The sequence below is a fragment of the Homo sapiens genome, chromosome 16 (genome assembly GCF_000001405.40).
Source record: "Homo sapiens chromosome 16, GRCh38.p14 Primary Assembly".
NCBI classification, from domain to species: domain Eukaryota; kingdom Metazoa; phylum Chordata; class Mammalia; order Primates; family Hominidae; genus Homo; species Homo sapiens.
The window spans coordinates 84,778,214-84,802,186 of NC_000016.10; the positions used below are offsets into that span (position 1 = coordinate 84,778,214).

General features: G+C 46.4%; 1 protein-coding gene and 1 long non-coding RNA gene across 16 annotated transcripts in view, besides 1 other annotated feature; both read left to right on the forward strand.

Moving 5' to 3' along the window:
- Positions 1–1,709, forward strand: part of USP10 (ubiquitin specific peptidase 10) — a 79,923-nt gene extending 78,214 nt beyond the window's left edge. For all 10 annotated transcript variants that reach the window (NR_073578.2, NR_073577.2, NM_001272075.2 and 7 more), the window contains one exon: positions 682–1,709. Coding sequence is in view for 8 of the 10 variants with exons in the window: in NM_001272075.2 (NP_001259004.1) it covers positions 682–869 (188 nt within the window). In the remaining 2 variants the exon portion in view is untranslated. The remainder of the gene's footprint in view (positions 1–681) is intronic.
- Positions 1,710–2,689: 980 nt separating this feature from the next.
- LOC105371378 (uncharacterized) lies at positions 2,690–22,049 on the forward strand. Of its 6 annotated transcripts, none has more exons than XR_933826.4 (3): positions 2,690–3,753; positions 6,967–7,102; positions 7,199–14,320. It is a non-coding gene; the product is annotated as an uncharacterized LOC105371378 (long non-coding RNA). The 6 variants fall into 6 exon arrangements; XR_001752294.3 differs by having other exon boundaries at positions 7,005–7,102; XR_001752293.2 differs by lacking the exon at positions 2,690–3,753 and adding an exon at positions 21,799–22,049 and having other exon boundaries at positions 6,383–7,102; positions 7,199–7,274.
- Positions 16,190–16,691: an enhancer, noted in NCBI's record as "H3K4me1 hESC enhancer chr16:84828009-84828510 (GRCh37/hg19 assembly coordinates)". NCBI's record gives its function as "activates a minimal SCP1, AML or CMV promoter by ChIP-STARR-seq in naive H9 embryonic stem cells {active_cell/tissue: H9 hESC(naive)}" and the evidence as "EXISTENCE:reporter gene assay evidence [ECO:0000049][PMID:30033119]".
- Positions 22,050–23,973: the final 1,924 nt, after the last annotated feature.

Genomic DNA, 23,973 nt, shown 5'->3' on the forward strand with positions numbered 1-23,973 from the left:
CGCTCAAGCAACCGTGGTTAGCAGTCCCAGGGTCCCTCCTGCCATGTGGGCCGGCACCGGGAGATTGTGTCCCGTGTCTTTAGGATAGATGGGCCACAGAAGGCCTAAGGACCTTGTTTTCTCATTTAATATACCATAAGCGTATTCCCGCATCACCATTCTTAATCTATTCCACGAAAAAATAAATTGTGTTATTTTAATATAATTTACTCATCAGTCATTTCTTCTAGTGGCTATTGAGGTTTTCCGTTTTTTCACTGTTATAAATGACATCATAATCTCTGTCCAAGATTCAGATAATCTCTTCAGGACAGTCTAGAAGTAGAGTCAGCCACATCCAAGGGCATGAGCCAGGTCTGTAGGCCTGTACAGCTGATGGCTGTGTAGGAGTGTCTGTGTGAGGCGTGGGACATTTTAAATATGTGGTTAATATGCGTACATGCACACATGTACCTATCTGACTTACCCTTACCTTGCAGTTATAGAAAAGTTTTTATTATGGATTGCTTGCGTGTTTGAGTTGAAATAGCATTGGTTTGTGTGATGACATCTCTCTGTCCCACCTGCTTTGGAGAGGGGTTTTACACATAGGATGCATCCCTGGAGGGAAGTCGGCGGAGACCTGTAATGATTCGTGTGCAGTGCTGTTCTCACTCTGCTGCCTGCTGGGCTCTCTTCCAGTGGTCTACCATCACGGCAACAGTGCGACGGGCGGCCATTACACTACAGACGTCTTCCAGATCGGTCTGAATGGCTGGCTGCGCATCGATGACCAGACAGTCAAGGTGATCAACCAGTACCAGGTGGTGAAACCAACTGCTGAACGCACAGCCTACCTCCTGTATTACCGCCGAGTGGACCTGCTGTAAACCCTGTGTGCGCTGTGTGTGCGCCCAGTGCCCGCTTCGTAGGACACCACCTCACACTCACTTCCCGCCTCTCTTTAGTGGCTCTTTAGAGAGAAACTCTTTCTCCCTTTGCAAAAATGGGCTAGAATGAAAAGGAGATGCCTTGGGGTTCGTGCACAACACAGCTTCTGTTGACTCTAACTTCCAAATCAAAATCATTTGGTTGAAACAGACTGTTGCTTGATTTTAGAAAATACACAAAAACCCATATTTCTGAAATAATGCTGATTCCTGAGATAAGAAAGTGGATTTGATCCCCAGTCTCATTGCTTAGTAGAATAAATCCTGCACCAGCAACAACACTTGTAAATTTGTGAAAATGAATTTTATCTTTCCTTAAAAAAGAAATTTTTTAATCCATCACACTTTTCTTCCCTACCCTTTAGTTTTTGATAAATGATAAAAATGAGCCAGTTATCAAAGAAGAACTAGTTCTTACTTCAAAAGAAAAATAAACATAAAAAATAAGTTGCTGGTTCCTAACAGGAAAAATTTTAATAATTGTACTGAGAGAAACTGCTTACGTACACATTGCAGATCAAATATTTGGAGTTAAAATGTTAGTCTACATAGATGGGTGATTGTAACTTTATTGCCATTAAAAGATTTCAAATTGCATTCATGCTTCTGTGTACACATAATGAAAAATGGGCAAATAATGAAGATCTCTCCTTCAGTCTGCTCTGTTTAATTCTGCTGTCTGCTCTTCTCTAATGCTGCGTCCCTAATTGTACACAGTTTAGTGATATCTAGGAGTATAAAGTTGTCGCCCATCAATAAAAATCACAAAGTTGGTTTAAAGGTGTGTGCGTGTTTCTTTGAATGCGAATGCCTTTTCGGGTAACTGAAATTCATGGGGGCATGAGTTTGCCTGCAGAATTAAAATCTGCCCTTCGATCAGCTCGACGTGTTTGTGGAAGCTGAACCACCACTCAGGTTATGCTTGTTTAGTATTTTCAAATGGATTAGTGATTTGGGTACACGAAGTTTTTGACTCTTCGATTGGCAGAAAGGAGGAGGTTTTCTCCCCTTCCCCTCCTCATCCCTTGTTTCTATAGCCCACCGTTTTCAGTATCACCAAAATAGTTGCTGTAGGTCAAGGCTAAATGCTCTTCAGTTGAGTGCCACTGGGGCGGCTGAGCGGTGCCTCCAGACGCCACCCTCAGTAGTGGGAAGGAAGCCTTCTGAGACGGAAGACATGGAGAGAGGGATGTCACGTGCAAGGGTGCCCGTGCCCCGGCTTCTGGCCCTGTGTGGATGATTGTGGTGTCCTGAGATCTACAGAGAAGGGGTTTTAACGTGGTCTGAGCCTTTCTCTCAAGTTCTTGCTCTTACCATCTGGTATTTCTGATTGTAGCCTGGTGCCATCTGGGGTTCAGAGCTTCCTAAACTTTCTGTACAAGTGTTGTCCGTCTAACCTACTTACCCTTTGTAATTCTATTGTGATTTGCTTGGCTGAATTATAACTCATATTGAGAGGTGAAGCCAGCTGGACTTCCTGGGTCAAGTGGGGACTTGGAGAACTTTTCTGTCCTCTAAGAGGATGGTAAAATGCACCAATCAGCACTTTGTAGCTAGGATTGTAAAACGCACCAACCAGCACTCTGTAGCTAGCAAGAGGTTTGTAAAATGCACCAATCGGTTCTTAAAACGCACCAATCAGCAGGAGTCTAAAAGCAGCCAATCACAGGGAGGACTGAAAAAAGAGCACTCTGATAGGACAAAAACAGAACATGGGAGGGGACAAATAAGGGAATAAAAGCTGGCCGCCCCAGCCAGCAGTGGCAACCCGTTTGGGTCCCCTTCCACACTGGAAGCTTTGTTCTTTTGCTCTTCACAATAAATCTTGCTGCTGCTCATAGAAAGATGCAAGCTAGTGCTAGCGAGACAGCCTGCAAAACCCCTGTGTTGTTTTGGGCTGTTAACCATAGTCTGAGTGGCTTAGACAACAAACATTTATTTCTCACAGTTCTAGAGGCTAGAAGTCCAAGAGCAGATGCCAGCAGACCTGTCTGGGGAAGGCCTGCTTCTTGGCCTGGAGACAGCCGCTTGCTCACTATGTCTTCACAGGGCAGAGTGAACCCTGGTCTGTTTCTCTTACAAGGACACTCATCCCACTGTGGGCCTCCACCTTTGTGATTTCATCTATACCTAAAAGGCCCCACTTCCTAGTATTCCGCCGGGGGTTCAGGCTTCAAAGATGAATACTGGGGGCGACACAAACGGAGCCCATAACCTCATGCCGCCTGACTCCTGAGGCTGTATTCGTGATGAACGTGTGGCTGCCCAAGTTTTGTTTTGCTCAGGCAGGATCAGCACACACCCAGCCACAGACAGGGAAGCCCAGAGCAGGGCAGAATATGGTCCCTCAAGTGAATAATTGGCCCAGGGATACAGAATTAGGTGATTCTAGCAAATCCAGACATTTTCTAGGGTGCCAGTGAATTTTGGGTCTGTCCCTGTTAGCTGTTCTTGAGATTTTGCACTCAACTTGCGATGGTTAATACGGAGTGTCAACTTGATTGGATTGAAGGATGCAAAGTATTGTTTCTGGGTGTGTCTGTGAGGGTGTTGCCAAAGGAGATTAACATTTGTGTCAGTGGGCTGGGAAAGGCAGACCCACCCTCAATCTGGGTGGGCACCATCTAATCAGCTGCCAGCGTGGCCGGAATAAAAGCAGGCAGGAGAATGTGGAAAGACTAGACTAGTCTTGTGGCCTCCATCTTTCTCCTGTGCTGGATGCTTCCTGCCCTTGAACATCGGACTCCAAGTTCTTCCGTTTTGGGACTTGGATTAGCTTCCTTGCTCCTCAGCCTGCAGACGGCCTACTGTGGGACCCCTTCTTGTAAGTCAATACTCCTTAATAAACTCCCCTTTATATATACATCTACCTATAGGTTCTGTCCCTCTAGAGAACCCTAACGCACAACGTTTCCATTTTATGTTGCAACGTTTAATGTTTTTGTAAGTTTCATAGTACGGTCTCCTAACTTTAGGTTATTTACTTCGGGAACTTTGCTCATTAACCTTGGTGCTGAGGCTACAGACTTAGTGATTTTCCTTCATTATCATTTAACATGCCTTTGTAGGTGGCATTTAAAGCAGTGAATGGTTACATTTTTAGTATGTTATAGGGAGATTTTCCTCGCATTTGTCAGTTGTTGACAACAAGACTTGGAAGTTCTCTTACAGGGAAGATGTCATGAAGTTTACCTGGTTGGTATGTTATTTGTCCACTAGCCAAGGAAGCGCAAGCCACTGTGTGTTTGAGGCAGGATGGAGAATGGAGGTCATTCTGGCCTCCACTGGTGTAACTATGGTTCAGCCACCCAAGTGGCTCACAGTGGCATTCTGCTTTCATTTCTCTCTCTCTCTCTTTTTTTTTTTTTTTTTTTTGAGATGGAGTTTTGCCCTCGTTGCCCAGGCTGGAGTGCAGCGGTGCGATCTCAGGTCACCGCAACCTCCACCACCCAGGTTCAAGCGATTGTTCTGCATGTGCCACCACACCCGGCTAATTTTGTATTTTTAGTAGAGACGAGGTTTCACCATGTTGGTCAAGCTTGTCTCGAACTCCTGACCTCAGGTGATCCAGCTGCCTCGGCCTCCCAACATGCTGGGATTACAGGCGTGAGGCACCGTGCCCAGCCCCTGCTTTCATTGCTTGATGTCATTGGTCATACCATCCTAGTCTAATGTGTGGGCAACGTGAGCAGGAACTTTGCAGTCAGCAAAGGCATCATCTTAGAATGTCTTTTATTTGGTGACGTTTCTGATTATTGCTGTCATAGACTGCTTATACTTGACCAGGCCAACTGGTTACAAAGTGACAAGCATAGTCCAAGTCAGTGGCTTTTGAACTATGGGAAATAACCCAATAAACCAGTGAGCTAGTATTGTACAGCCAACTCACGTTCATGAGTCAATGAGAATGAGCAAGTTGTAGCAGTGTGGACACAGCAGTCTCTTGGCTTCATTTCTCTTGGGAAGTGCTGAGTGCATCAAAAGAACTAAAAACAGCAAGAGACAGAAGACTCACAGTTTTTCTGGTACTTCTCTGGCTCAAGAAGGAAAAATATCTTGACTGAGCCTAGTGAAGACAGTATCTCTATACCAATTTCCTGAGGGTCAGTGGACTTAAAAGAGATTAGACCAAAATGTTAGTGTTTTTAAAATCCGTGTCTAGCAAGGCCAAGTGGTAATAGCCAACTCTACACGAAGTGTTTTGTGTTTCCTTTATTGTTTTTTGTTTGTTCGTTTGTTTGTTTGTTTTCTGAGACAGTCTTGCTCTTGTTGTCCAGGCTGGAATGCAATGGCATAATCTCAACTCATTGCAACCTTCACCTCCTGGGTTCAAGTGACTCTCCTACCTCAGCCTCTCGAGTAGCTGGGATTATAGGCACCTGCCACCACACCAGATAATTTTTGTATTTTTGGTAGAGACGGGGTTTCGCCATGTTGGCCAGACTGGTCTTGAACTCCTGACCTCGTGATCCATACACCTCGGCCTCCCAAAGTGCTGGGATTACAGGCATGAGCCAACACGCCCGGCATGTTTTTCCTTTAAAATCAGTCACAGCAAAAGTCACCGAGCAGACACTGTTCTGCCTTCTTCAGACATTTTCTCTGGCTTCCTAGGAATTGGGGTTTTTTTTGTTGTTTTTGTTTGTTTGTTTGTTTGTTTGTTTTAGTGTTATTCATCTTTTAGACTGGCCGTTCCCATCTTATTTGCACCTTTTGGGGAAAAGTTAACTTGCTCGAAAATGAAATGCACCCGATGGCATCTGCTGGCTTTACCTCATGGTGATGTTCCTTTATGAACTAGTGACCAAATGCTTCATTCTCTTTTCTGATTGTTTCCCTCCCTTTGCTCATCCCCCACCTCAGTAAGACATGTTACATCATTTTAATGAGCAAGTGTACATTTTTTTCCAGTGGGACTCAAATTGTACGTTTGCTTCTTGGTCGTACATGCATTTTGTTTCACGGATTTAGTTGTGTCTCCTGTTGTTCTGTGGTCAGGATACGGGATCATTTGCTAGGCACTGATTTGCTGAACACAGTAGTATTTCGTTGAGTGGCCCTTCCTTGGAAACAACTGGCAAGTAAGCAAACCTGGAAATCACTGTTCTGTGCTGTATTTTCAGTAAAGGGAATTTACACAGCGCTTGCTGCTGTGGGATTTGCAAACTATTTTATTTTGACTCTAGGATTTCACACAGTGATATGCTTAAGATATTTTTTATAATTTTTTTTTTTTTTTTTTTTTTTTGACAGAGTCCCACTCTGTAGCCCAGGCTGGAGTGCGGTGGTGTGGTCTTGGCTCACTGCAACCTCCGCCTACCGGGTTCAAGCGATTCTCCCTCCTCAGCCTCCCTAGTAGCCGGGATTAGAGGTGCACGCCACCACACCCAGCTAATTTTTGTATTGTTAGTAGAGATAGGGTTTCACCATGTTGGCCAGGATGGTCTTGAACACCTGGCCTCAAGGGATCCACCCACCTCGAATTCCCAAAGTGCTGGGATCACAGGTGTGAGCCACCGCGGACGACCTATAAAAACTTTTATCCCTTTCATTTTCTCATAGACTCCCGTTTAAGTTCTTGCTCTGTTTTGGGGGAAAGTGTTTATTGTTTGATTTTCTAATAACGAAAACATTAGAGTAGCTTCATTTATGCTGCCTGTTTCAAGCCAATACACTGCTCAGTTGTGTTTGTGTATTTGAAAAGTCCCCTGATAGGAACTTTCTGAGGGGTGCCTGTGTTGTTGGCACATTTGAGAACTAGACAAAATCTAACTCTGTGTCTTTTTTCTTTCTTTTTCCCCTATTATTTGGTTTTGTTTTTTTAACAACCCCTCTGGAGTGTGTTTTGGTTCATGGGATCAGGCCACGTGCCCTGGTTTTCGAGGTATAGCCTTGGCTTTCTTGGGTCGGGTCTAATAACCCTGACCTTGGACTTCCCACGTGTCCTTCAAAGAAAGCAATTATTTTTGCCTATTTTCTGAGTATGATGGTATTCTCCATTTGATTTAACAAAAAAATTCTTCCTCTGCTTTAAAAGACTGAAAGCCTCCCTGTAAGGTGCTGATTGCCTTCCAGATCTGAGGACCCCGTCTCTGCCTCATTCCTCCTGTTTCCATCAGAAGACACAGGTCTGGGACTCAGCGCAGCTGACCTGTCTGTCCCTCTCTGCACAGGTAACCACTTATTTATTGCTGCTTAAAGTAGAGCTTCTGATACCCATGGGGCTGGCAAGAGACCCTGACATTCTTGTCTTATTTTATCACATACAGTTTACTCCTGGGCTCTGCAGAGAGAAGTCAGTGCCTCAATTTTCCATTGAAATATGCACCCTTGGCATCCTGGCAGGTGAGCGGCGCCCCCTTAGGGCTAATACAGTGACATAAAATGTGTCATATTTTTGGCTGTGTGGTGGCTCATGCCTGTGATCCCCACACTTTGGGTGGCTGAGGCAGGCTGACTGCCTGAACTCGGGAGTTGGAGACCAGCCTGGCCAACATGGTGAAACCCCATCTCTACTAAAAATACAAAAATTAGCCAGGCATGGTGGCATGCACCTGTAGTCCCAGCTACTTGGGAGACTGAGGCAGGAAAATCCCTTGAACCCGGGAGGCAGAGGTTGCAGTGATCTGAGATTGCGCCACTGCACTCCAGCCTGGGCGACCGAGTGACACTTGGTCTCAAAAAAAAATTAATTGTCATATTTTTGAAAAAGTATATTAGCTTTGCAATGAGTAAAGTTCACTCTCTAGGAAGATGTCCCTGTTTCCTGTGGCTACAAATGCTCCCTGCCACACTGGGAGGCCGCACCTCACTGCGCCGGAGTGCAGTCTTCAGTGGGGTCCTCTGCTGTGACCGAAAGAAGGGTGCAGCCGGGCCTGCTTCCAAGGCTAGGGTCTGAGACCTGGAGTGTGTCCATGGATATCAGATGTTGAGCTACAGGGGACCGGCAGCCCACAGCAGCACCCTCGGTGGCTACCTTAGGGTGTTCCTGTGGGCCTCCCCCCACCAGCACCTCCCTCCAGCTTTCCTGCCTCCATCCCCCCTCCAGGACACTTCCTCCTCTGGCTAAAGGTTTGGCACCTTTCATTTGAGAGAGATTAACAGCAAACACACAGGGCTTTCTGCAGGCCAGGGCTGCTGCTGAGCTTTTGCCAGGCATTTGGTCCTCTGCCAAGCCCATGCATAGTTTCTGTCTACATTGTGCAGTTGGGGACTTGGCACCTGCCCAGCACCTATGCTTGGGGCCCCTCCTCTGTGCTGCAGGCGGGTGTTCACACCCTTTCATACCCGCTGTCATCTCCCTGCAGCCCACCCTGCTTGACGAGGTCATCACTGGTGCTTAGGAGTAAACTGGAATGGCAGACAGAGCCCAGTGGATATTGCAGAGGAACAGAAGGAAAAAGATGTGCATGACGCCTCAGTGCTTGCAGCATTAAAGCAAAAAAAAAAAAAAGAGCAAAGTAGCACAGTGATTAAATAGTCGGGTGCCTGCATTCCATCCTCACCTGCTGTGAACCAGCCACATGACCTTGGACAGGTGGCCTGGTGCCTCCTCTGGGTAGTGGCTGGGAGTGGCACTGTCACCTAGGCCCTGTCACCTAGGCCCAGGGGCAGGAGTAAGCAAGGTAGCAGGTGTGATCCATTAGCACAGCTGATGCTCAGTCACGGTGGCCCTGGCACTCCTCAGAGGGCCCCTGCCATGCCTGGGGGAGGAGGGGCTGCAGTCCGTGCCCAGTGAATGTACCACCTGCCTGACATCGCAGCGTCCACTCTGGCAGATGCGACACCACGCCTAGTGAGGTCTGAACAGGGACCCTCAGCAGTGCGCCCACAGGTGCACATGAGTGATGACCATAGCTGCCCGCTGGTTGTGCCCTCCTGGGCAGGAAGCACACCAGGGAGCCCTGGCAGAGCAGGCCCTTAGGGAGCACCCAGGAGGGCCTGGGGCTGGGGCCTCGATTCTGGGCAGCCAGCCTTCGGGACCTTGGTCACGCGCCTACCTGGACCTCTGCCCCTGCCTGCCCTATCCCTCATTAGAATCCCAGCCCTCCTGGCTGTTCTGGGTACTCTGATCAAGCCAGACAGTGCTAGTTCAGCACTGAGAGAGTGTGTCCTGTCTGGTCAGGGACCACCAGGGTAGACAGACATTCACTCCTAAGTTCCCACCGAAAAACAGCACGAGGGTATATTGGGCAACCAGGTGAAGACTGTTCCAGAGCCAGTTATCCCAGAGGAGCTAGGAAGCCTTTCCCTCTGCTGTCTTCCTTTTACTCAGACACGTCCTCCAGAGCTGGCTGCATGTGCATTCCCTCTGCTTTCCTGGAAGTCCCCTCCTTTCCATCTACAATGGGACTTTTAAAAATACTCACAGTCACTAGTGCACAAGAAGAACCATTCAAAGCCGGCATCCAACCTCAGATTTGCAGCAACCTAAGATTTGTTTGCAAAGGAATAGAACGATAAAGCTTCAACCCACCCACGTTTATAACTGAGAAGAAAACACACACTTCATTTGGTAAATACAGCAAACAACTGAAAGTATGCTTTGACTCTGTATTGAGGCCAGTTAGGGGATGGAAAGGGTGAGGCTAAGCAGGTAAAGGAAATGGAAGAGAAGGTCAGGAGAAGGAAAATGTGAGCTAGGCAGGCGGCTCATGCCTGTAATCCCAACACTCTGGGAGCCCAAGGCAGGAGGATCATTTGAGTCCAGGAGTTTGACCCCAGCCTGGGTGAAATAATGAGACTTTGTCTCTACTAAAAAAAAAAAAAAAAAAAAAGTTAAAAACAGTAATAAAAGGAAAATGTAGAGGGGAGAAGCAACTGAGAAGAGAGGGGAGAGTGAGAAGGAATGAGCAGGGAGGTGGAGGGCGTGGGGGTGGCTTTGTTTTGGCCTCATCTTTCCAGGGAGACAGCCCTGTGGCGATGGCCAGGCCACGATGCTAGGCTGCTCTTGGTCATTACCAGCCCCTGAAATCAGCGTCCTCAACCCTAGCCCTGTCATCTCTGCTGGGAGTGGGTCTCTATTTCTTTTCTGCAATTTACATTTAAAGCAGAGTTTACCCTGGAATTCTGAAGGTTTCGGTGTTGAGGTATGGTTTGCATTTTAGAAATTCATTTTGGAAATGTGAAGATGTCTTCTATGCGGCTTGAAAGCCCGTCTGACGTTCACAAGCTGTATGGCTCAGGTCTTCAGTGCCTGAAGGTTATACAGCAAACCCACCTTGACTTTGACTTCGGAGTCTTTTCCTCCTGAAGCCAAATCTGTTTCAGCATTCTGGTCTCGTTAATTCTCATGGTGACAGTATATTAATATGAGCCAAAGAGAAAATAAAATTCACTGAAAGAAAATAAGGCTGAGCCTCATTACGCCTGTAATCCCAGCACTTTGGGAGGCCGAGGCGGGTGGATCATCTGAGGTCAGGAGTTCAAGACCAGCCTGGCCAACATGGTGAAACCCCCGTCTCTACGAAAAATACAAAAATTAGCCAGGAGTGGTGGCACACGCCTGTAATCCCAGCTACTCTGGTGGCTGAGGCAGGAAAATCTCTTGAACCTGGGAGGCTGAGGTTGCAGTGAGCTGAGATTGCGCCACTGCACTCCAGCCTGGGCGACAGAGTGAGACTCCATCTCAAAAAAAAAAAAAAAGAGAGAAAATGAGAATAAATAAGCAGCCATTCCACCTCTTGGGTCAAAGCTTCCAAATTTGCTTTTTCTCCAAGGAGTGGCAGCCACAGCAAAACATCTTCTGCAGCGTCTGGCCAGGGCGTTACTCCAGCCCAGTTTTGCCCTGGACTAGATTGAGTCAGGTCGTGCATGGAACGCAAGCACAAACCACGGTCAGCTCCTCGAGACTGACCCACTGGCCCACTGAGCAGAGGAGCCCCTGGGTCTCTGGACGCTGCCCAGTTGTTGACATCCTGAGGCAGGTTTGCGGCTGATGGAGCAACAGGGACGGGCTGGGCCCGGCACCTTTTTCACGGAAATGATGAGCTCTGGACAGCAGTGATGCCAGGGCCCATAAAGCCTCAGGCGCCCGTCATTGCTGCTGCCTGCGTGTGCTCGCTCACCGCGACGGCGGCGGGCTGGAGGAAGCTGTGCAAGAGCCAAGTGTCTACCATGAGTCTGCATGTTCATATGGTTCAGATTTGCCTTGGAATCCCCGCGAGCCAAACTCTTTCATTTCACTTAGTAAAAGGGATGCATTGACTCAGATGTTCTGTCCTATTTAAATGAGAGGGGCGCGGGAGGTGATGGAACACAAAACCATGAGCCATGGCTTTGCTGGGGAATGCTGTGGATCTGGTGTGTGATAGAGAGAGAGTGTGTGTGCGTGTGTGTGTGTGTATGGCAAAGTGCACAAATCGCACGTGTACACCTCAGTGGCTTTTTACACATTTAGACGTGTGTAAGTGTATAGAGCATTTCCACACCCCAGAGGCCCCGAGCTCACTCCCTCCCGCTCTCCCCATCCCTGACGCTAACCTGATGCCTGTTGTCGTACATCAGCTTCTCAACCTCGGCACTATTGATTGCCATTTGGGGCCAATAATTCTAGGGGGTGGTGGCTGTGGTGGGCACTGTAGGATGTTTCCTGTGTCCCTGGCCCTGACCTACTAGATACTAGATGCACCCACCCTCTCCATCGTGACAACCAAACGTCTCCAGACATTGCTAAATACACCCTGGGGACACAGTCACCCTGGCTGAGAACCAGAGCGTGGGTCACTGTGACTTCCGCGCTTCCTCTCCATGGCATCGCACGGTGCCATGTGTCCTGCCCTCCGTGTTCTTCTCTCTACGCTGCTTCTCTGAAATCCCTCCAGCGGTGGCGGGTGCCAGGAGTTAGTTTTGCTTTCTCACTTTGGAGTAATGTTGCATTTTATGGATGTGCCACGATGTGCTTGTCTGTTCCACTGCGGATGGCATCTCTTGTTGCAGTTGGGGCTGTTAAGAGTGTTCTCAGTGTGCCTTGTGGAGGGCTTGTGTCCTTTCTCTTGGGTGCATCCTCCTGAGTAGGACTGCAGGGTCCCAGGCAGGCGCCTATTAGCAGGAGTGGCCACCATTGCACAGTGCTCCCAATTCCATTCCCACAGGCCACCTGAGAGTCAGGGAGCTTCTGTCACAATTTTAAGTGCTGCAGGATTAATGCAAACTTTCTGATGTGCTTCAAGTTGCTTTGTGTTGAAATGGACTAGAGGGGATTTAAGCTCACAGACATATATCCAGAGCATGCCCACTTTGATAATGCTATCTTCACTAATAAATTATTCTCAAAACAGCAGGTACTTGCAGTTCTGAACTAGATAAAGCCCTTTCCTTTCCATCTACTCACTGAGTCATCAGGTGCCTGGCTGACAGCTGACGCTAAGTCTTCACAATTAACCAAGTCTCTGGGCGCCCCTCAGGCTTTAACATGAGGACACATGGCAGATTAATCACGAAGCCCCACCTCTCATTTCAGCTGCCATGAATGGCAATTCCCAAAATGCAGGGGGAGAAAAAGACTGGAAGGAAATGTCGTGGTCTAAAATATCACCAAAAGTTGTCTTTGTTTTATTTATTTATTTATTTATTTATTTTGTTTGAGACAGAGTCTCACTCTCCCAGGCTGGAGTGCAATGGCCCAATATCAGCTCACTGCAACCTCCGCCTCTCAGGTTCAAATGATTCTGCTGCCTCAGCCTCCGGAGTAGCTGGGATTGCAGGTGTCCGCCACCACGCCTGGCTAATTTTTGTAATTTTAGTAGAGACAGGGTTTCACCATGTTGGCCAGGCTGGTCTCAAACTCGTGACCTCAAGTGATCTGCCTGCTTCGGCCTCCCAAAGTGCTGGGATTACAAGTGTGAGCTTGGCCTCCAAGGGTTGTCTTTGTGGGATTGTTTGCCCTCCATCTGTTTGTCTGTGTATTCCCAGTTTTCTGCAATGGACAGTTTTTACGTTTCAAACGGGAAACTCTTTTCTCCTTCCGTGTCTCCATGCAAGCCCAGAGACGCCAGCATCATGTCTGTCTCCCATCCTCCACTTCTCTGACGACCAAAGGTCCTGGGTTCTCTGAGGCCTGCGCCTGGGCCTTGTTACAACCCAGCAGGCTTATCTTGATTCCAGTAATTGAGAGGCACATTTGCCAAGTTTATATACCCTCTTGAAACTCAAGTACTGGTTTGTGGATTAATGCGAGATTCAGTTGCATGCATTTGAAATGCAAGCGTCTAATTCCGCGTGTAAAATACGGGGCCACAGACCTCTTGGGCATTGCACACCATTCCATTCAGATGAGCGCAGCAAAAGCAAACTGTAACCCCTAGGATTAAATTCTCCTTTAAATACTCACGGGTTTTTAGCTTCGGGGGAAAATATGTCTGGGAAAAATATCTTGGGGTTTCATCAAACACTTGGAAAATAATCTGAAAACATTTTTCCAAACCCTCCATGCCTCCAGCCTGAATCCTAATTGATAGTTAATAACTACATCGACAGAAGCCTTCTCACTCTATCACGATTACTGGAAGGCTAAAGAGACATCTGTCTGGAGTACTGGGAGTGAAGCAAGGATCTCAGGATCACCAAGGATCTTGTCTGGCCAAGGTCTTTACCACACAAACAAGCTTTTTTTCACCCCCGGAAATACTTGCCCCGAGTCCACTGTCAACCATTACCAGAATCAGATCTCGGACCAATCGCAAGTGTATTTATGTATTCATTCATCAAACACTTATTGAGCCCCAACTCTGTGCCAGGCATTGCCTGTACTTGCAGGGAGATCAAAAATGAAAGGAGGTGAGCATTTTGACAGCTCTTGTCTTAGAGAGTTTGCAGCCAGTGGGAGAAAGCAAGACATCGGTAACTGGGAAAAGGCAGGGGTGCTCCGAGTCACAGAACAGAGCCCGTGGCTGGCAGAGCCCGGAGGAGGGTCTGGCTGGGCAGTAGATGTTGAATTCTATTTTTTTCAAAATCATTTTTTTCTATTCCAGATCCTTTGCTTTTCCACATCAATTTTTACTATCTACAAAAAGTCATGCTGGAATTTTGACTTGAATTGTGTTAAACCTCCACATCAATTTGGGGATAATTTACAGCATAGTTACATTTGAGCCCTCCAATCCATAAACACAGTATATCTCTGTTTTTAGGCCTTTGATTTCTTTTGTGAGCATTTTGATAAAGCATACAGATCATCCTCAAGTTTCGTCAGATTTATACCTGAGTATTTCATTTTTGGAGAGCTGTTGTAAATGGGTTTAACATTTTTATCATTTATGTATTTTTCATTGCTAGTATATAGAAATATGATTTTTTTTTGTCTGTTGGCCTTATGTCCTGAGATCTTGTTAAACTCATTATTTCAATAAGCTTTTTTGTTTGTTCATTTGGACAGCGTCTTGCTTGAGCCTCGGAGTTTGAGGCCACAGTGAGTGGTGCCATTGCACTCCAGCCTGGGCAAGAGAGTGAGACTCTGTCTCTAAAAAAACAAGTAAAACATAAAATACATTTATAAAAATAAAAAAAATCGATCAATGTAATCCATCATATTAACAATCTGTCACCCAGGCTGGAGTGCAATGGTGCAATCACAGCTGGCTGCAGCCTCGACTTTCCGGGTTCAAGCAGTCCTCCCACCTCAGCCTCCTGAGTAGGTGAGACCACAGGCATGCACCACCATGCTCAGCTAATTTTTTTTTTGGCAGAGATGGGGGTCTCACCATGTTGCCCAGGCTGGTCTCGAACTCCTGAGCTCAAGTAATCCACCACCTTGGCATCCCGAAGTGCTGGGATTACAGGTGTGAGCCCCCACACTCGGTCCAGCCTAAGCTTTTTAAATAGTTTCCTTAAGATTTTCTACATAGAGAATTATGTTATATGCAAATATGGACAGTTTTATTCTTTCCTTTCAGGTCCATGTGCCTTGGATTTCTTTTTTCTTGTTGTAGTTCATTGGCTGGGCCTCCAGAAAAGATGTTGACTGGGAATGGCAAGAGTTTATAAATTGTCTTTTCATGACCTCAAGGGAAGCATTCTCTTTGCCCATGAAGTCAGTCCGTTGCTAGCTGTGGAGTTTTTATGGATACCCTTTATAAGATTATGGAAGCCGGGCACGGTGATTCAGGCCTGTAATCCCAGCACTTTGGGAGGCCAAGGCAGGTGGATCACCTGAGGTCAGGAGTTCAAGACCAGCCTGGCCAATATGGTGAGACCCTGTGTCTGCTAAATTACAAAAAATTAGCCGGGTGTGGTGGCGGGCGCCTGTAATCCCAGCTACTCAGGAGGCTGAGGCAGGAGAATTGCTTGAACCTGGGAGGCAGAGGTTGCAGTGAGCTGAGATCATGTCATTGCACTCCAGCCTGGGCAACAAGAGTGAAACTCTGTCTCAAAAAAAAAAGATTAAGGAAGTGGCCTTCTGCTCTTGTTCTACCCTGGTTTTCTGAGAGTTTTTTTTTTTTTTTTTTATCATGAATGGATGTTGAACTTTGTCAGACTTTTTTCTGCGTCAGTTGGTATGATCATGTGGTTTTTCTTATTTAGTCTGTTAATATGATGGATTAATTGATAGTTTTTTTATTGTTATAAATTTATTTTTAAATTTTTCTTTAGAGACAGAGTCTCACTCTGTCGCTCAGACTGGAGTGCAGTGGCACCACTCACTGCAGCCTCGAGCACCTGGGCTCAAGGAATCCTCCAGCCTCAGCCCCCCAAGTACCTGGGACTACAGGTACATGCCAAGCTCACTTTTAAAATTTTTTTGTAGAGATGGGGTCTTGCTGTGTTGCCCAGGCTGGTCTCAAACTCCTGGCCACAAGTGATCCTCCCACATCAGCTTCCCAAAATGCTGGGATTACAGGTGTGAGCTACTGCACGCAAGTTTGATTGATTTTTAAAAAATGTTCCACCAGCCTTGCCTTCCCCAAATAAACCCCACTTGGTCATGGGGTTGTATGACCTATGACCAAAATATTAGCAAATATATATATTATTGAATACAACTTGCTAGTAGATTGGTGAAGATTTTCATGTCTATGTTCCTGATGGACATTGGTCTGCATGCATTTCTTTTCTTGGACTGTCTTTGTGTGGTTTTGGTATCAGGGTAATGCTGTCCTCATAAGATGAATGGGGAAGTATCCTCTTCTCTTTTATTATCTGGGAGACATTGTGTAGATTTGGTTGTTTCTTCTTTAGCTGTTTGGTGGAATTTGCCAGGGAAAGCATCTGGGCCTGAAGATGCTCTTTGGGAAGGTTTCCAGCTGCGTTGAGGTTTAGGCTGGGAGGGAAGAGCCTGGGAGCTCCGAAGGCTGGGAGGTACCCGAGTTCTGCTGCCTTCCCCAATCTGTCTGCTGCGTGTACTCTCCAGAGGCCCTCGATGGCAGCTCCCGCACTCTCTTCAGGGTTTTGGTTGCATTCAGTGGCAGATGCAGGGTGAGCAGGACAGGACAGGCTTATCTATTCTGTGGAGCCAAACCTCCATAGTTTTTATTTTCATAACACCAACCTGTGTGGGAGCCAGTGGCTGAGAGCATTGCAGGGCTCAGCACATCCTGACATCACAGGGACCCGGGAAGGCAGCCGACCTCCATGCAGGAACTTCCTCCTCTACAGCGTCACACAGGAGTCCCCTCCAAGGCCTCAGCTCTCCGAGGCACATGCGTGCTCCTCACCTTCCATTTCCATTTCGCGTGTTTTGCTGGCGTCAGTGCTGCTCTCCGTTGGAAATGCGGGAGCCGCCCCTAGCCATGTTACACGTGGAGAAGCTGCGGTGCCGGGAGGAAGAAGGCGGCGTTAAGTGGGCAGAGCTGAGAGTCACTCCTGGACTCCTGCGCTTGGGGCACCACGCACTGATCTGAGTGGAACCCCAGCCAGCCCGAACAATGCTGGGAGGGCACTGGGGCTCTCGGTCAGCAGGGCCCCACTCATCCAGGGAGTCAAAGTGCTTGGGTGAAGCGCGCACAGCCAAGAATCTATATTCTAAATATTAATATTTAATATTAATAATAACAATAACAAGAGCTCCTATGGATTAAACGCTTGCACACTGACCATTAAGCACTTAGCATTTATGAAGCACTTCCTACGACCTCTCCTTCATCTCGCTGCGGCCCTGCGAGGCCGATAGTGTTTATTATTCTCATTTACAGAGGAGGAAGGTGAGTCCTGGAGGAGGGAACAGACTCCCGGGGACACACGGCAAGGATTCCAGCCTGGGCCCATTTTGGTAGCGCTCCCTCACGGTGACAGATCCAGCCAGTGCGCCAGCAGACGCCCTTCACGGAAACCTCACGTAAAGGCTGAGTTAGTGCTGTCTCAGACGACTGCAGCGGCGTGGTGGGAAACGTCAGTAAAGAACGGTTTCCTTGAAAAGTCTGCACATTTATAGTGTGTTGTTTTGATTAGGAATTCTGGGAAGGCAGAGACGTCCTTCTGCGTGGACAGCTGCCATCCCTCCCGCTCTGCAACGCTGGCTCCTCCTGAAGATGGAGCAGGATTGCGTCACTCATGGGAACTTTCTAACCTTCTCTTCAGCTGACCTCCTCTGTGCTTTGGGAAGCCAGACTGACTCAGAGAGTTCCGTGTCCCCACCCCTTCCTTGGTGCTGGAAAGGAGGTGGAAACTCCTCAACTTCCTGTCATTAGGATTCATCTCGGAAATCTGCCACACAGGGCTACCCCGGGACCCTATCCAGGCAGGGGGGTGCGTCAGAAGCACTTCACCCCTGCAGGTGCAGGCACACTTACTCTCTTATTGGAGACACTGCCTTGCCTTGTCACCCAGGCTGGAGTGCAGTGGCACTATCAGGGCTCATTGCAGCCTCCATCTCCCAGGCTCAAGTGATCCTCCCACTACAGCCTCCCGAGTAGCTGGGATTACAGGCGTGCACCACCACACCCAGCTGATTTTTGTCTTTTTGGTAGAGATGGGGTTTCACCATGTTGGCCAGGCTGGTCTCGAACTCCTGACCTCAAGTGATCCACCCGCCTTGGCCTACCCAAAGTGCTGGGATTCCAGGTGTGAGCCACCACACCTGGCCAATTCCTGTACCCATTAAAAACTCAAGAAATCTTTGCCTAACCCAAGCTCACAAATGTTCTTCTGTGTTTTCTACTAGAAGTTTTATAGTGTTAGCCTTTACATTTAGGTATCTGATTTGACTGAGTTAACTTTTGTGTGGGAGGAGGTAGAGATCGAAGGTAATTTTTTGCATATGAATGATATCCGGTTCTTCCACGTGTTGAAAATACTCTCCTGTCCCCATTGAATTTGCCTCTGCGCCTTGCGAAAAAATTGACCATGTGGGTCTATTTCTAGACTCTGTATTCTTTTTGTTTTGTTTTGTTTTTGAGACAGTCTTGCTCCGTCACCGAGGCTGGAGTGCAATGGTATGATCTCAGTTCACTGCAACATCCGCTTCCTGAGTTCAAGAAATTCTCCTGCCTCAACCTCCCAAATAGCTGGGATTACAGGCACTCGCCACCACGCCCAGCTAATTTTTTTTTTTTTTTTTTTTTTTTTTTGTATTTTTAGTACAGACGAGACTTTGCCATGTTGGCCAGCCTGGTCTTGAACTCCTGACCTCAGGTGATCCACTCACCCCAGCCTCCCAAAGTGCTGGGATTACAGTCATGAGTCACTGTGCCCAGCCTCCTTTTTCTTTTTTTTTTTTGAGATGGAGCCTCGCTCTGTCGCCCCAACTGGAGTGCAGCTGTGTGATCTCGGCTCACTGCAACCTCCACCTCCCGGGTTCGAGCTATTCTTCTGCCTCAGCCTCTGGAGTAGCTGGTACTACAGGTTTTGCTACCACGCCCAGATAATTTTTGTATTTTTAGTAGAGACAGGGTTTCACCATGTTGGCCAGGCTGGTCTCAAACTCCTGACCTCAGGTGATCCACCTGCCTTGGCCTCCCAAAGTGGTGGGATTACAGGCTTGAGCCACCGCGCCCGGCCTAACAGCTTTACAGTATGTAAAGAAAAAACTGATAGAACTGAAAGGAGAAATACACAAATCCAAATGACAGTTGGATATTTCAACACTCCTTTCTCACTAATTGATGAAATAAGAAGACGGAAAACCAGTAAGATTATAGAAAGCTTAAACAAACTTACCAACTAACTGACCTAATTAACCTTTATACAATAGTCCACCCAGTATTCTAGAATATACATTCTTTTCAAATGCATAAGATAATCACTTGGACCATAATCTGAACCAAAAACTGTATCTCAACAAATTTTAAGAGATCAAAATATTATAAAATATTTTCTTGGCCAGGTGCGGTGGCTCATGCCTTAATCCCAGCACTTTGGGAGGCCAAGGCTGGTGGATCACCTGAGGTCAGGAGTTTGAGATCAGCCTGGCCAACATGGTGAAACCCTATCTCTACTAAAAATACAAAAATTATCTGGGCGTGGTGGCACAAACCTGTAGTACCAGCTACTAGGGAGGCTGAGGCAGGAGAATTGATCATGCCTGGAATCCCAGTATGTTGGGGGGCCGGGGAGGGAGGATCACCTGAGGGTGGGTGTTCGAGACCAGCCTAGCCAACATGGTAAAATCCCATCTCTACTAAAAATACAAAAATTAGCAGGGCATGGTGGCAGGCACCTGTAGTCCCACATACGTGGCAGGCCGAGGCAGAAGAATCTCTTGAACCCAGGAGGCAGAGGTTGCAATGAGCTGAGATCATGCCACTGCACTCCAGCCTGGGCAACAGAGCGAGACTCTGTCTCAAAAACAAAACAAAACAAAATAATTAGATTATAACCCTAGGAGGATTCAGGAACTCTCTTAGCTAGCTTTGTAACTGTTCTGTAAAACCTAAAATTATTCCAAGTTTAAAAGTTTACCAAAATCAGTCAACATAATTCATGATATAAACAGACTAAAGAAGAGCCATGTAATCATTTCAATAGATTCAGCTTTTGACAAAATTCAGCATCCATTCATGAGATAAGCTCGCCACAAACTAGAGAGGGAAGGAAACTGCTTCAACCTAACAAAGGACATTTATAAAAAAAAAATCCACAGCTAACATCATAATTGATGGTGAGAGACTGCACGCTCCCACCCATGTCTGGAGCAAGGTAAGGACGTCCACTCCACCACTACTACTCAATGCTGTAATGGAGCCTCCAGCTAGTGTAATAGGCAAGAAAAAGAAATAAAAGGCATTCAGATGGGAAAGAGAGAAGTAGGACTCTCCTTATTTGCAGGCAACATGAAAACCTAGGTAGAAAATCTTGTGGAATCTACAAAAAAGCTCCCTGAACTAAGAAGTGAGTGTAGGCTGGGCATGGTGGCTCACATCTGTAATCCCGGCACTTTGGGAGGCCAAGGTGGGAGGATTGCTTGAGGCCAGGAATTCGAGACTACACTGGCCAACACAGCAAGACCCCGTCTCTATTTTTTTTAATTTAAAAATGTTTTAAAAAGTGAGTGTACTAAGCTTGCCAGATAAAAGATCAATACACAATAATCAATTGTGTTTGCATATGCCAAAAAAGAACAATTGTAAAATAGGATTTTAACAATACCATTTACAATAGTATAAAAATATGAAATCCTTGGGCTCAAATCTGACGAATCAGCGTAAGACCTGTACATTGAAAACTACAAACATACCTGAATGAAAGGAAAGACCCAAGTAAACGGATAAATACACTGTATTCAACAAGCCAGGATTTGAGGGTCTCCCCAGAGTGATCTATAGAGTCAATGCAATCCCAATCAAAATCCCAGCAGCTTTTTTTTTTTTTCTGGTAGAAATTAAGTGGATTCTAAAATACCTATGGAAATATGAAAAAATAAAACACAGTCGAAACAACTTTAAAGCATGACCGAAGTTAGAAGATTTACAGTCCCCTTCAAAATTGTTATAAAACTTAGCAACACCGCATGGTACTTGTATTGAGGTCGATAAATAGATCAATAATATAGAATGCTGGCCAGGCACGAGGCGGGCGGATCACAAGGTCAGGAGATCGAGACCATCCTAGCTAACAGGGTGAAACTCCGTCTCTACTAAAAATACAAAAAATTAGCCAGGCGTGGTGGCGGGCGCCTGTAGTCACAGCTGCTTGGGAGGCTGAGGCAGGAGAATGGTGCGAACCCGGGAGGTGGAGCTTGCAGTGAGCCAAGATTGCACCACTGCACTCCAGCCTGGGCGACAGAGCAAGACTCCGTATCAAAAAAAAAAAAAAGCTGTATTATTTGGCATGTATACATTTAGGAATTTTCTATATCCTTGATGAGTTGGCCTTTTTGTAATTATGACAAACCCATCTTTATCCCTGGAAATATTCCTTTGTCTAATATTAATATCACCACTCCAGCTTTCATTTGGTGAGTATAAGCATGTTGCATGGTATACATTTTTCCATCTCTTTACTTTTAACCTATTTATGTCTTTGTAGTTAAAGTTGGTTTCTTGTAGACAGCATACCGTTGGGCCTTGCTTTTTCATACAATCTGACAACCTTACATTATGTTGGAATGTTTAGAACATTTACATTTAACATAAATCAATATAGTTGGGTTAAAACCTGCTATCATGCTATTTGATTTTCAATTTGTCTTATCTCTTCTTTGTTACTTTCTCCCCATTTTCTTGTCTTCTTTTAGATTAGTTGCATTGCCTGTCTGATTCCAATTTATCTATATTATTTGCTTGCAGATATGTAAAAAGTTGAAGTTTCATTAGGGATATACATAAAATAGATGATTTTTCTAAAATAATGAGGCCAATCATGAGATGACTCATTAAGGAAAAGATCAATTGAAAAATGCATGTTTGGAAAAAAATTGCATGTTTGGACTTACCTTCAGTTATCATTAGGAAACAGAATAAAACCTAGACCAGAAGTTAAGTATTTTTTTTTTCCTAAGCTCACAATTATAGTTTCTATGATTTGAATCATCAGAAGAGCAAACTTGATAATCCTGGAAATTTAGGAGACATGAGGTCATGGAAGGTCGTGGAAGGTCCTGAAGGTGAGTATTCTGTCAGGAACGGTGTGTTCGCCTTCCTTATGCTCCTGCTAAGCCCTCTCTCTAAAGTTGTGTATTCTGCTCGAAAACTTCCCTTGCCAGAGGATACTTTTCATGAATAAATGCTCTCCAGTTCTTGTCATTGCTAAGTACAGTTCTTGGGTTACTTTGCATGTCTCTCCAATATCAATTTGATGGAGTGTCTTCGAGGAACTGGCAACGTGCCAAACACTATATGCAGGGATTTGCCTACATTCAATCATTTAATCCTCCCAACAACACTGTGAGACTGACAAGATTCTTAGCTCCCCTCCATGGCTGATGAAGTGGCATCTCAGTGAACTGAAGGAAGTTGCTGGAATTCCAACCTGTGCTGTCCAATTACCAGGCCTATGATCTTGGCCCCTAAGCTATCTTTGGGAGGGCCTGCCAGTGCTTGGATTTCCTGTTTCTGTCTCTTTCCCTGCTGGCTGAAGTTAACAATCAGTATTTCACAGGGCCCTCTGAAATTTCCTTCCCCTTCAAATATCAGCCTTATGCTGGTACTGGGGATACCCAGGGAGTGAGACGTGGTCTCCAGCTTATAGATGCTCGAAGTAAAAGAGGAGATGGAACAATTGTCACAGTTACCTATTGCCACGGTGATGCTGAGTAACAAACCACCTGTAACTCTGTGGCTTTATTCTTGCTCTCTGTCTGCAAATCATCTGGGAAAATGGGGTGGGGTGGGGTCACCTGATCTATGCTGGGCTCAAGCTACAGGATGGATCCAATTCTACTGGACACTTTGTTCTGTGACCCGTGGATTGCCTGGGGCATTTTCTCCTTGTGGCCATGGCGGAAGCCCATCAATCAAAGCAAGTCACATGGCTAAGCTCAAAGTCAAGAGGTGGAAAGTACTCTTTGCCCACCACGAGGCCATGGTAGACCCCAAGGCCATTGGGCTGTAGAACAGACAGCAGAGTGGAGAACCAGAACCGATAATTCAATTCACCTCATTTATTTTAACAGGTGAGCAAAGCAATTTGCATGACAGCAAGATGTTGCTAAGGAAGACAAAAGATAGAAGCAACTGCCTACCTTGCCAACCACATGCCTTCACAGAGGAGGTGATGTCGGTGCTGGGTCTTGAAAGGTGGGGTTTCCCAGGTGGAGAGAGAGCATGTGCAAAGGTCCAGTGGCACAAAAGGCCCCTGTGGGCTCAGAGAGAAGGAAAAAGCTTAGTGCTACTGATGTGTAGAGGGGTGCATGTGCTTGCAGGTGGGTGGGGAGGGTATGGGGCAGGGAGCTGGGTGCAGTAGAGAGAGATGAACCCAGAAAGTTGCCAGTAATGAAGATAACTAAGGTCATTAATGGGCAGGGAAGTGTCTGGTCAGGCTTGGGTTTTCAGGTAATGATTCTGGCTGCAAAGTGGAGACCAGAGAAGAGGAACAATTAAAATAATTAACATGTGTAGGTTTTTCTTTAAAAAAAAAAAAAAAGAAAGAAACAGCCAGGCATTTTACATGCCTAATTTGAACCTCACAGCAACCGAGTGAAATAGGCATTATTGGCTGGGCGCGGTGGTTCACGCCTGTAATCCCAGCACTTTGGGAGGCCGAGGTGGGCAGATCACTAGGTCAGGAGATCGAGACCATCCTGGCTAACATGGTAAAACCCCGTCTCTACTAAAAAAATACAAAAAATTAGCCGGGCGTGGTGACGGGCGCCTGTAGTCCCAGCTACTTGGGAGGCTGAGGCAGGAGAATAGCATGAACCCGGGAGGTGGAGCTTGCAGTGAGCCGAGATCGAGCCACTGCACTCCAGCCTGGGCGACAGAGCGAGACTCCCTCTCAAAAAAAAAAGAAATAGGCATTATTAATTTTAATTTTAGCATAAAAAGAAATATATTTGCATTCATTTAAAAATCTTTCCTCATTGGCCAGGCTTGACCAGCTGGGAGCTCACTGTGCTCACCCTCAGGGAATGCTAACTTTTTTCTTTTTTTTTGAGACAGAGTCTCATTCTGTCACCCAGGCTGGAGTGCAGTGGTGCGATCTCAGCTCACTGCAACCTCTGCCTTCGGGGCTCAAG